At 39.1% G+C, this 13,971-nt stretch overlaps 1 long non-coding RNA gene across 1 annotated transcript, besides 1 other annotated feature; it reads right to left on the reverse strand.

The window, feature by feature from the left end:
• Positions 1 to 2,490: 2,490 nt before the first annotated feature.
• LOC107984611 (uncharacterized) lies at positions 2,491 to 8,492 on the reverse strand. The gene is made up of 3 exons (XR_001749851.3): positions 8,411 to 8,492; positions 7,080 to 7,213; positions 2,491 to 2,647 (listed from the first exon to the last, which is right to left on the reverse strand). It is a non-coding gene; the product is annotated as an uncharacterized LOC107984611 (long non-coding RNA).
• Positions 12,770 to 12,889: an enhancer, noted in NCBI's record as "active region_7655". NCBI's record gives its function as "activates an Ori minimal core promoter by ATAC-STARR-seq in GM12878 lymphoblastoid cells {active_cell/tissue: GM12878}" and the evidence as "EXISTENCE:reporter gene assay evidence [ECO:0000049][PMID:35858748]".

The following is a 13,971-nucleotide window of genomic DNA, read 5'->3' on the forward strand; positions in this document are numbered from 1 at the left end:
TGAATTTTTCTTCATTTCAATTACTATATTTTAATTTCAAGAAGATCTATGTAATTTTATTATAAATCTTTTTTGTAATCAGCTTTATAGTCTATTTTTGCTTGTATATGTATTCCCTCTTTTTTAAAAATAATATAGAATCAGGGGGTACAAATGCAGGTGTGTTACATGGGTATATTTCATAATGCTGGGGTTTGGGCTTCTATAGAACCCATCACCCAAATAGTAAACATAGTACCCAATAGGTCATTTTTTGACCCTTGCCCCCATCCCTCTCTCCTCTCTGTTGGAGTCATCAGTGTCTATTATTTCCATTTTTATGTCCAAATGTACCCTTTGTTTACTTTTCACTTATAAGTGAGAATATGTGGTTGTCTGTTTCTGCATTAATTGATTTTGGATAATGGCCTCCGGCTGCATTCATGTTGCTGCAAAGTACATGTTTTATTCCTTTTTATGGCTGCGTAGCATTCCATGGTGTGCGTGTGTGTGTGTGTGTGTGTGTGTGTGTGTGTGTGTAAGTATTACATTTTTAAAATCCAGTCCACTGTTGATGGACACTTAGGTTGATACTGTGACTTTGCTATGATGAATAGTGCTATCATAAACATATGAATGCAGATGTCTTTTTGAGAAAATAATTTCTTTTTCTTTGGGTAGATGCCCAGCAGTAGCATTGCTAGATGAACTAGTAGTTCTATTTTTATTTCTTTGAGAAATCTCCATACTGTTTTCCATAGAGGTTAAAAGTTCAATGAATTTTGACAAATGCATACAGTCACATAACCACCACCACAATCGACATAGACCGTTTTCACTAGCCCAGATGTCCCCCTATCCTTTTGCAGTCAATCTCCTCCCCTAAAGTCTGGCCCATGGAAATCACTGAGCTGCTCTCTATCACTCTAGTTTTGCCTTTTCTAGAATTTCGCATAACTGGAGTCAGAGTATATAGTGTTTTACACCTGGTTTCTCTCACTAGCATGATGCTATCGAGGGTCCTCATGTTGCATTTGTCAGCAATTTGTTCCTTTTCTTTGCCGAGTTGCATTCCATTGTACGAATACACCACAATTTGCTTATCCAGTCACTGGTTGATGAGCATTTGGAGTTTTTCTAACTTTGGACTATTAGGCATAAAACTTCTATAAATTTTAAATGTGGGCGTTTGCATGAACATAAGTTTTTATTTCTCCTGGATAGTTTCCTAGGAGCACAATTACTAAGTCACATGGCAGATTTAGGCTTAATTTCATAAGACACTACCATAGTGCTTTCCAAAGTGGCTGCATCATTTTGTATTCCCACTAGCAATGAATAAGAGCCCTAATTGCACCACATTCTTACAATGTCCAACATTTTAATTTTTGTGTTCTAGTGACTGTGGCTGCTGGGTAGAGGAGAATTTGTATATGTGGAAAATACAAGCATTGTGACTACTAGTTACAGTCACCATCTTACTGGTAACTGTGACAAATTTCAGGAAAGAGGATCATGATAGATATGGGGGTGATGATAGTGATAATCTTGGAGATTTAATAGAAGAAATTTCAAAGTTTAGCAGTGAATGCTGATAACTCTCCGGTTTACTTTTGGGAGGAAAGACAGGGATTAGAGGAAGTGAGGAAAAGGAAAAAGTAACCCCTGCAGGAAGGATCATCCTGGAAAAAACTGTGGCGTGGATTCAGTGTGTACTCATTAACTTCTTACCTTTCCTTGTTTGTATTGTTCTTCAGGTTCAGAAATCAACACCCTATCACCACTACCAAAATCTTTAGGCACTGTATTAGTTATTGATTGCTGCATAATAAATTACTCCAAAATTTCATGTCTTAAAACAACAATATTTACTACCTCAGAGATTCTGTAGTCAGGCATCTAAGCATGGCTTAGCTGAGGCTGCTGGCTCAGGGTCCTATGCAATGCTGAAATCAAAGTGTCTACTGAGGCTGTGATCTCATCTGAAGATTCAACCAGGGAAGGCTCCACTTCCAAGCTCACTCAGGTAACTGTTGGCAGAATTCAGTTCCCTGGGGCCTGGTGGACTCAGGGCCTCAGTTCCTTACTGGCTGTTGGCTGGAGGCTGCTCTCATAGGCCCTGCCACATAGGCCACTCAACAGGGCATCTCACCAGTGCAACTTGCTTCATCAGAATTGGAAAACCACACAGAGAGTGCGTGTAAGGTGGAAGTCACGATCTTTTATAACTTAACCTATCACCTTCACTAAGTTCGATTCAATAGAAACAAGTCACAAGGTCCAGTCCCACACAAAGGTACATGGTCAAAGGTATGAATACAGAAGGTGGGCTCTTTGGGAGCCATTTCAGAAGCATCTACCAAAGCCAGGACTAGGGTGAAGTGAGTGACATGCCAGGGGTGCAAAATTGAAGGTAACACTTTTTCTAGCACAGCCCTGAGAGTGAATCCCATCAGATACCTCATTCACCTTACCCTAGTCCTGACCCTGTTGCCTACCACATGCCCCTAACACACCTATTCTGATTTCTGCCTACCCAATTAGTGCTCCCTGCAGAGACACTAACCTGAGCCTGTCTTCTCAGGCAACTGTTCCATGGTGCTCATTTTCTTTCCTCCATGACCCTCTCCTGAATCTTAGTTGTTTTTTATTCCAATTTTCCAGTATGCTGTTGGGGAAAAATGATATGAAATAAGTCTCAAATATTTAATAATTAATACCTAGGATTATTACATAATCTATATATTTAGAGCAGTATTTATTAGAATACAATCCACATACCCAACTCACTGAGGATACTTAATGAAAATGCAAATTCCATTCCTGTGTCCCATTCTAGACCCAGTGAATCAGGATCAGAGTCTTAGAGATAGTATCCCAGGTGACTTAAGTTTGCTAAAACATAATGGCCTTTTGCATTTATGGAGTGACTTCATTAGTCATATGCCTTAACCCTAAAAAAATAAATTTCTATTTGGAAAATTTGGCAAAAATTTAGGGGCAAGAGCTGTGTGATTAGAGTCTTTTTTTGGGTAGCGGAAATATCTCCTTGATAACCCTCAATATCTCATGTAGATAAACTACTTATTATTCTTACTTAAAAGCTGGTTGAACTGATGATATCTTTTAAAGCAATATCTGAACCTACTAAAATGGTTTCTTTTTCCTTGGTATTACTAAATATGCATTACAGTGTTACCAAATGAATCCTTGGCTTTTCCTAGCAGCCTGTGTTTTGTGATGAAGGCCACAGGAATGTGTTCAAGAGTTCCTGTACCTTTTCAATTAAAATGAGTTGCTAATTGCATCGGTGCTTGTAGAGGAAACCATTATATCAGCCTCATTGACTCTGCTTTCCCCCACTAAATTACAGTCAGTTGCCTGAAATGTAATCAATCCCTGTGTTGAAAATCAATCCTGTGTCTGCCTCTAGAGAATTGTCACTCATTTTTCTCCGTATTAGAGCTATCACACCACACCAGTTACACAATGGATTCAGCCAAGTCAGAAGTAGAAGAAATCCCTGTCGCTATTGAAAACCACAGATTAGGTGCAGGGTCACAGGCAATTACCCAACTGCAATGGAATCAAACACTCAGATGTTATGTGGTGTGAGTTCCTTAGCATCCTCCTGGCTCATAGATCATGGGAGACCTGAGGGCAACCAAGTACCTGATTATAAATGGAGAGTCCTAAAGAAAGAAATTTCCTACTTTAAGAATAACGCAATGGGCTGGGCGAGGTGGCTTACACCTGTAATCCCAAAACTTTGTGAAGCTGAGGTGGGAGGATCACCTGAGGTCAGGAGTTTGAGATCAGCCTGGCCAACATGGTGAAACCCCATCTCTACTAAAAATGCAAAAATTAGCCAGGCGTGGTGACTCACACCTGTAGTCCCAGCAACTTGGGAGGCTGAGGCATGAGAATCGCTTGAACCCGGGAGATGGAGGTTGTACTGAGCTGAGATCATGATTATGCCACTGCACTCCAGACTGGGCAACAGAGTGAGACTCCATCTCAAAATAATAGTAATAATAAATAATAATAATAATGTAATGCAGGATATTTGGATATCTGATTTTCCAGAAGGACAATCAAAATGACTTGACAAGGTATCATTGAAAGTCGGTGATATTTCAGAAGTCTGGCTTTCTTTAAGAAAAAAATCACATTCTTGTAAATATATAACTTATTTAAATTTAGTAAGGTAATATGTGTTGCATTGTGCATTTACGTAAGAAAGTAAAGATCAGAAGGCAAAGCTCTATGTTTCAGGAGGTGTCTTTGAAACACAAAATTTAAGGTCAGGCAGGGAGGGAGGGGCTGGGGCTGGTTGGGGGCTGGGAGGCATGCTGCGGGTTCAGATGGTGTGTAAAAGGTGTAGAGCAGGTGTTGAATGTGGCTTCATTTTCTAACTGAAGGACTAGAGAGCTGAAAATGCAGTCAGAGAATTAAGGTCAAAAGAATATGTGTATAATCCATGCAAGTTAAACAGCTTTTAATTCATGGAAGAGAGAGTCAGGCTTCAAGGTTTAAGCCATCAGATTCTTTTCCACAAAAAGAAGAGAATATGCAGAAAAAGAAAGTCATTTTAGAATTTAGCATAATTCTTCAGAGAATTTACATAATTAAAAGAAGTAAAAATACAAGTTTAATTTTTTTCAAAATTATAAGTTTTTGATTAAGTATCTCGTGGCGAAATGGGGTATATTATGTGGTTCTTATGTGGTTTGGTCATTTTATATGTTCACATATTTGCAAAACCTGAGAGACAGCAGGAATAATGTTCATTAACTATGATGTTTACAAGCAATTAACTTTTGCTGAAGTACAGAGAACACATATACGCAAGTAGTGGGAAACAAGTCTAGGAAGAAATTATGGCTTAGTCATGGAGAAACTGCACTAACTTTAGTTGGAAGAAAATAGGGAGTCACTGGAGTTGTTTTTAGTAGGAGGTTGGCCTGAGAACATGTTATGAGGACTGATTTCCAATACTGGGCAGGATAAGTCAGATTTAAAAAAAAAAGAAATCAGGGAAACATTTCGGGGGTGTACCCCAACATTCCAGGAGCTGAAATGAGGAGGACTGAACTTGGAAATGAAATACAGGGAAAACAAACAAAAGGCCTGGTGCCAGAAGAACCCAACTCGAGTGGGTGGAATATCCTAACATATTCTGAGGCCAAACTCCTACTAAAAGAGACCAAGGGGATCACAGGAGACCAGAGTAAAAAGCACAGGGAAAACGGCCCTCAGAAGAAAAGCTGATGTCGGGGACAGTGAAACATCATCTGGTTTGGGACAAGCTGAGTTGAAGTTCCCTGCATTTCACAGGCACTCACATGGGTGCCACAACACAGGAGAGAGGTCAGCCCTGGAAGCGGTGTTGAGGTGAATGGAGGGGAGCAAACCAGGGAAGGAGAGCAGACAAAAGAGAACAGAACTAGGGAGAGGACCTGGGTACAGGCAGGGTTGCAGCATGGAGCCCAAGAGGAGCCAGAGTGAATATTTAGAAAAGTAGGAGGAGAGTTAGCCTCACAGAGGTCAAGGGAAGAGGAAAATCAAAGAAGAAAGGGTTAATGCTTGCATGCGGAAAGTAGGATAGAGTAAGTTAAGCCATCACGGGTAGGAGCCTGGTTGGTGAGCTTAGGAGAGCAGCTCTATTCAGGTTTGAGGGCAGCCTCTGGACTGCGAAGGGTGAGGATTAAGGGGTAGGAAAGTGCAGGCGCAGCACAATGAATGTCCAAGATGTTTGCTCAGCATCCATTCATGGTTCTGATTCTTTCATTCTACCTAGGCTTCCTAGAAATTCCTCTCTCAAGCCCATTTTCTCCATTCACTCATACAGAGTATTTCCCTTCCACCACAATGGAAGGCATTTTCACAAGCTGATACCAGCTGAATGTGTTAATGGAGTCTCATGATGAAATTCTATCAGGCAGAGCATATTGTTATTGCAATATATTTTATTACTCTATTAGTACATGTTATAAAATATGTACTTATGAACAATTACTGCTACAATTTGATATAGCCAATCCATTGATGTAGGAATTTGGAGCAACAGTCATTTTTAGTAAAGAAATTGAGCTGAGTAAAGGTGAAATTCAAGATTCTATAGCATGTATGAAATGAAATGATCCATTTTAAAGACTGGATATAACTATGCTACCACAGATACACTTTCATTTAAGACAAACCATTTCATTTAGAACAGTTAAGAATACATTAAAGCTAGGGAATTAAACTCAGATAAAAATCTCTTAACAAACTACCAACTGTTTCATCCACAAAGAACAGCAAAGCCTTTTTAAAAAAGAAAAAAACCCACTCCACTTCTTTTTTGATTAATTGTTTAAAACTCATGCTAATTTCAGTAAAAGTAAGGATGATTATAGTCAGCACTTAGAAAATGAGAAAATGAATGATTTAAGATGCAGACTGTATTAAAAAAAAATCTGATCTCTGTAGAAATTATCAGTGCCAACAAAGATCTATGGGGTGAAAAAGACATTTAAAGTTGGTGCAGAACAGATATAGGGAATTTTTATATGAAGAAAAAGATAAATCAATTAAAGCAGGAACCGTGCTGTTTATTGTGATAAATCATATTAATATAACTCTTCTGAACAAGATATTCAACTGAAGAGAGGAGACATACAAATAAATCAGGATTTTAATTCACTGCTTTTGCTTTTGGATGCCAGAAGACAATGCCACACATTTATAGCTATGTCTACACAACCGCAAACAAATGCTTTGCCAGGAAGCACGATGTGCGGCACTGTTTATGAGCACGCCCACAGCAGGTCCCAAAGAATAACACATTTCCAAAGAGGGGGAAAGCGTGGAGATCAGAGCTTTGCTCAGAATGACCTTCTAATGATTCTCAATAACGGCAAAAGGATTCAGTTTCATAAAATCAGTCAAGCCAGTTTTATATTTTTTTTCTTCTAGCTCATTCACCAGACATTTATTGAGTGCTGATGAGCAGGCAGGTCCTACGGAAGGCATTGCAAATTTTGTGTGGAGTGAAATGCCTCTGCTTAGATTGTCATTGCTGTTTACCTTATAACCTTGTGGCCCAGACTACCTACCACGGGCTGACTGATTGCAAGCTGACCTTTTCCACCAATGCTGGGAAGCTGTGGCTGTAGACGATAGGATCTGCTCCTGTGTGAGTATTGATGAAGTGGTTTTCTTGAGACCTTCTACGTTTGCAGGACTCGGTCTGGTGGGAGAGAAAAATGAAGTCCTAACAAGCTGCAGGGGACCCTACCTACAAATCCTTCTTCTGCCCTAACATAGGTCATTGTGGTTGTATCGATGTGAAGGTTGTTTGTTTTGTTTTGTTTTGTTTTTAAATCAGAACTAAGTATCTGGCTGGGTGCAGTGGCTCATGCCTGTAATCCCAGCACTTTAGGAGGCCAAGGCTGGCGGATCATTTGAGCCCAGGAGTTCAATATCAGCCTGGCCAACATAGCGAAACCCCATCTCTACTAAAAATACAAAAATTATCTGGGTGTGATGGTGCACACCTGTAATCCCAGATACTCGGGAGGCGGAGGTGGGAGGATCACTTGAACCTGAGAGGCAGAGGTTGCAGTGGGCTGAGACCGTGCCACTCCACTCCAGCCTGGGCAACAGAGCGAGACCATCTCAAAAACAAAAGAAAAAAGAAAAAAAAAAAAGAAAGAACTAAGTATCATATGATCTTACAAATGTAACCTGATCAGAAGTAAAAGTTCTACCTTTTCTCCTCATGCTTGTTCTTAGTTAGGGTACTTAGTGCAATAGTTAAGAAAATAATATGAAATCTGATTATCTAGGCTGAATTCTAAATGCAGTATTTAATAGCTGTGTGATTGCATGTAAGTGATTCCACTGCTGTGCCTCAGTTTCTCATCTGTAAAATGGGGATAATTATAGTTTCTACTTTGTATAGCTTTGGGAGGATTAGCACCCAATACCTGATATTCTGCACATTCATTAATGCTAGCTAACTAGTTAATCTTAGTTTTAAAAGTGTAAAAATTGTGATAACAGAATAACTAATACTCAGTATGTTCAGTGTTTTACCATTTTGCATGGCACTTTTTTATGTATCACGTATGATCAAAAGGTAAGGCCTGGATAAAGAAAATGAGGTACATATACATCATGGAATACTATACGGCCATTAAAAATAATTAAATCATGTCTTTTGCAGCAACATGAATGCAGCTGGAGGCCATTATCCTAAGCAAATTAACACAGGTACAGAAAACTAAATACTGCATGTTCTCATTTATAAATGGGAGCTAAACATTGGGTACACATGGACATAAAGATGGGAACAACAGACACTGAGGATTCCTAGAGGGGGGATGGATGGAGAGTAGGAGAGGGGACAAGGGTTGAAAAGCTAACTATTGCATACTATACTCACTATTTGGGTGACGGGATCCATTGTACTCTAAACCATCACACAATATGCCCATGTAGCAAACCTGCACATGTACCCCTTGAATCTGAAATAAAAGTTAAAATTATATATTTTTTAAAAGATAAGTGTGGTCAAATGACTTCATAGAAGATAGTTTTCCAGAAAAGGTTTGTAATGGCTGACAGTAAGTAAACCTCCTCATCTCCTCTTTCCAACCCTTTTTTATTGTGGAAATCGCATTACCAAAGAGCAACAAGACTGATTGAAGAAGTGAGGGGCAGGGGAGCTCCACACTGGAAAGCACTCAGATGTCCATACATAATAAAATGAATAAGTAATTGGGATTTATTCAAACAGTGAAATTTAACACAGCAATGAAAATGAATGCATCGTAGCACACAACACCATGGATGAATTCTAAAAACATAAGATTGAATAAAAGAAATCAGACACAAAAGATACATATTCAATGATTCCATTTACAGAAAGTTCAAAAAGTCAATATTTAGGCGTGCATAGTGATGATCATAAAAGTGAGTCGTGATTCCTGTGGCATGGAGGAACTGATGATGGGAAGAGACATGTGGGTGTGGTGGGGGATATTTCTGGAATTCTGCCAAAATCATATTTCTTGGTCTGTATGATAGCTACCTGAGTATTTGCACGTAACAATTTTTAATGCTGTGTATTTACACTTTGATCATTTTCTTTTCATGTATTGTAGGTTACAAAAAGTCTTTAATTCCAGATGTAAGTTTATAATTTTTAAAATGAGAATAAACAGTTTATGAGGAAAGGTATCAGAAACCTAAGCTAAAAGCAAGTGGAGTAAATCTCTTTGTTATATCCATATGCCCCATTTTTCCACATATCTCTCCGTGTGTCTTCACCAACTCAATTCCCAACATCTTCCAATCATAAAAGGTTGAAGGATAATTATAAATAAATGCAGATTACTGCAACAAGCACTAAGGATATTCTCACAGTGCACATGAGGGATCTGATTCTGCTTAGATGGGAACAACAAAACCTGGATAATCAAGATGATGAAACATATTGTTGAGAGATGCTCTTTTTTGAGGAGAAAAGTGATGAACATATGTTCTAATTTAGATAATCTGCTCCTTGTCTATTTCAGACTCTAAGTTTACTCAGCTAACCTTTTTACAGAAATAGGAAAAAGTGCTGGATAATAATGATTCAGTACAAGTCCATTCTCATGTTCCAGTTAATGGCTCATAGCAACAGCTATTCTACTGATCCATTTGTAACATTTTAAACAAGAAAAGTTTTTCTGGCCTAAAACTAGTGACTTTGAAACTATCTGCCCTGTAATGTTGACCTTCTTCAGAGAAACAATTTAAATGTATAAATATAAAGAAATATAGTTAAGTAAAATCCATAAGATGAGAGAAGAAAACCGTCCTCTTTAAGACAACAGTCTGTAAGGCTATATTGTTTTCTTGATATTGCTATGCTGGGAACCAGAAGGTCATATGGATCCCACCTGGTTCTGTTCTCTATCACAACACCCTTGAAGGGTTATTGACCTAGGCATTTTATGAAGAAGATGAATGAATTGAGAATGACTGAACCCATATAAAAGTGGTCTGGTACAACTTTGCTTTAGTTTGACCTTTTTGAGAGCCAAAGATAAAGTCCAATGAAACATTTTATTTTCTATGAGGATATTGTTGGGGTATTTCCTCATCACATCACGTTGGAAAGTCTCAGTACCTAGACCAAGTGGCTTCCCCTAAATAACTGATGTTTGTCCTACAGATACAGTGATTCAAGCGACTGCCTCATTTTTTGCATTGGTTATAAGGAATTGTAGCACAAAATTTGAAGTCTATTATAAACATGGGCAGACTTTGGTTTGATTTTATATCTTATATCCATATTTTGATTTTCCCTGGACTTCTGTATTTGCTCATTTTGATCATGTAAGTTGCATTTTCCAGAATGTAATGGAGTGTAAGTAATTGCATTTCCCCACCCCAAAATGAAGCCTCTTAGTTGATTAGGTCTGTAGTTCTAGTCTCCCAAGCAACTGACAACTGCATGATAGACTCCACCTAGATTTTCCATAAGCATATCAAATACATATGAAATTCCCAAAACCTAGTCCTTCTGTGTCCTCTACTCTGTCTTGATAAGTGCCACCATGCACTTGGTTACTCAAGTCAGTATTCTGGGTGTCATTCTTGATTTTTCTTCTCCCTATACAATTTGCAAGAGTTTATATCACCTTAAACTCCCAAAAATCTCTTGAATCAATTTTTTAAATTTACTTCCTGATAGGGTTTGTCTCTGTGTCCCCACCCAAGTCTCATGTTGAATTGTAATTCTCAATGTTGGGGGAGGGACTTGATGGGAGGTGATTACATCATGGTGGTGGTTTCCCCCTTGCTGTTCTCATGATAGTGAGTGAATTCTCACAAGACTGGGTTGTTTGAAAGTGTGTAGCACTTCCCCCTTCACTCTCTCTCTCCTGCTGCCATGTGAAGACATGTCTGCTTCCCCTTTGCCCTTCCACCATGATTGTGAGTTTCCTAAGGCCTCCCCAGCCATGCCTCCTGTACAGCCTGTAGAACTGTGAGTCAATTAAACATATTTTGTTTATAAAGTTCTTTATAATTTCTTTATAAATTACCCAGTCTCAGGTAGCTTTTTATAGCAGTGTGAGAATGGACTAACGTACCAGCCTGTCGCTGGCCACTAGTTTCAGCCACCTGCCCTCTTTCTCCTAAACACATGCTAACCCTCACTGGCATCCCTGCTCTAGTCTTCCACCCCTTCCATCCATGGCACACACTCCTTCAGGAGGCATCACTCTAACACTCAGATGTGAAACCATTACTGCCTGATTGAATGTTTTCTCAATAATCCTCATTATCTATAAGAAAAAGCAAAATTCTTTAGAATGATCCTAAATGACCTTTATAGTCTGAACTCCTAGGCCTTCTCCTCTGCTCCTTGAACACTTGTGGTGCTAGAAACATGCCAAACTCTTTCATTTTCACACACATGCCATTTCTTCCCCTTAAATTTCTTTCCTCCTTGGAAAGGGCTACTTCCATTTGTCTTCAGGTCCCTGCATACCTTACCTCTGAGAAGCGTTCCCTGACATTCAGGCAAGCTTTGGCATACCTTCCCTCATGTTCCTACAGATTCTGGCCCATATGTCTATTGTAGAAATTACCAGGGTGCTTTGAAATTACTTCCTCGTATATCTCCTTTCTAGACAATACCTCCCTGTTTTCAGGTACTATGTCTCACTTTTGTATCTCAGGGCCTAGCATAGAATGCATCCTCAGTTAAATAAATTGATAAGTAAGTAGTAGATGGCAGGTTTATATTAGATGGGGCCAGATACTAGATTCAGAAGCAATAGACTAAAGCAGGGGGCAGCAAACTAAGGCCCACAGGTCAAACCTGAACCACTGCCTGTTTTCATAAATAACACTTTCTTGGAAAATAACCATGCCTATTTGCTTACATATTGTTAGGGCTGCCTCTGTAATTCAATGGCAGAGTTGAATATATTTGACAGAGATTGCATGGCTCACAAACGCTGAAATATTTATTATTTGTCCCTTCACAGAAAATGTTGGCTCACCCCTGAACTGAAGACATACTTATGAGCTAGAGTCATGAACCCCAGAGTGTGTCCTGCTATATTACAATGTCAATTACACTAAATATACAGATTTACTCTATAAGATTTCCTTTTCTACTGCCTTGCTCCCCTGTAAAACCAACACACACACCTCTGCAATCTGAAACCATATTAGCTTTCAAACTCCCTGCAGCCAACTCAAGCTTATTGAGATTTAGGCTCTTTTGTTTATCTAACTATAAGTGCAGAGACTGCTAATTGTTCCTCTGTTTAGTCTTCCCTGATTTATTTTAGTAATGTACTCCCCTGAGTTTTGCGTGGCACTGAACTGCCCACCTAGAGAATATCCTGCCCTGCCTCTCTTGCAAGTAGGTTTCACCATCTGAGGATGTTCAGGCAAACGGAATGTCAACAGAGTGATGTGTGCAATTCAGAGTTTCTGCCCTTAAAAGAAGACTTGCTCTACTTCCTCTCTCCTCCCTCTTTGGGTTGGAATATGAATGTGGAGGGGATGACCAACCCTGATCATATAGACAAGGACAATGCCTTCAAGAGCAACAAGATAGAGGAAACCTGGGCTCCTTTTTCATCTCACAGAGCACTCTTAACCTCCTGGACTACCCTCAAACCAGACGTTTTTGTAAGAGAAATAAAGCTTTCATCTCTTTTATACTACTATTATTTCAATAATTGTCACAATGGCCAAACCAATATCCTAACTTTTCACTTAACTTCTCTCTCCACGTCCTGTTTTTCCGTTAATACTTAGATGTCCTCTCCCTCTATCTGACCTCAGCAGAGCTCTACTTTTTATCTTAGCCACTCTCAAGTTAGAAAGCTATGCAGAAGTTTCACTTTCAACCACTCTTTCTAAACTCTAAGTCTTTCCCTGAAATCTCACCCTTTCTTAAAGCCCTCATCTTTCCAGTCCCTCCCCTTTTCTTTCTACCTCTATATTCTTCTGTTCCAAAAATAATAAGGAAAGAAAAGGAAATTTCCAGCCCTTCTGATGCAGTCCTTATTCATACTTTTCTGCTTTTCTTTCCTCATTGCCCCCATGAGGAACTGAGCAGGCAAGGACACAATCCTTCTTAGAGGATGTAAGAAGGGGAAAAGCAAAGTCAGAAAAGTCTTACTTCTCTTTAATGGTAAAGTGAAGATGGCTGTAAATACTAACAGCTATAAATTTTTGGAAGTGTGACCATGGCAGACGTTAAGAATTTGAAATGTGATGAACCTAATATAAAAATGCCATTAGATCGCTATGAAGGCCACTGAGTATTAGGTAAGTGGTGTTTTAGGGAAGGTATGCAGAAAGCAGGAGATAGATTGAATTGGATGGTTTTGGCTGGAAGCCAGGAGGCTGTTTAGGAGGTAAGTAAGTCCTGTTCTAGGATGATGCAGTGGAAATAGAAAATAGGAAAACATGCCCACTAGATATTTAAAAGAATCAAAGAGAATGTTGATGGCAGATTGGTGGATAGGGAAGCTCCATAGTTGTCATCCTTTCTAACAAGAATATTTTCCTCAATATTTGGTCATGTAAGTCCTTTGGTACTGTAGAGGGTGTAAGGAACTTAAAGGAGGGAATAAAATAAGTGAATATATTTCCAGAGCACTGCACAGTAAAATATATGCAAATGAAATCACAAGTATGCAAATGAGTAAACCTGGATGAAATGCCACTTCTTACGTAAAACGGTTAACATGCTTTCCAAAGGGCACGTCAGGTACATGCTGGTGAATCTAATTCTGTTCTAGCATTAATAGCTTCAGGTTTGGGACGTCAATGAACAATTTAAGTTTAGCCTGCTTTTAATTTCTCTGCACAATCCCCTCTAAGTTCTGCATGACATCCAGCCTTCAATGATTATTAAATAAATCTAATGAAATTGAACTAACTAGCATTATGCAAATTATCCCTAATCTTTTGCCTCTCTGG

The sequence above is a fragment of the Homo sapiens genome, chromosome 13 (assembly GCF_000001405.40).
Source record: "Homo sapiens chromosome 13, GRCh38.p14 Primary Assembly".
NCBI classification, from domain to species: Eukaryota; Metazoa; Chordata; class Mammalia; order Primates; family Hominidae; genus Homo; species Homo sapiens.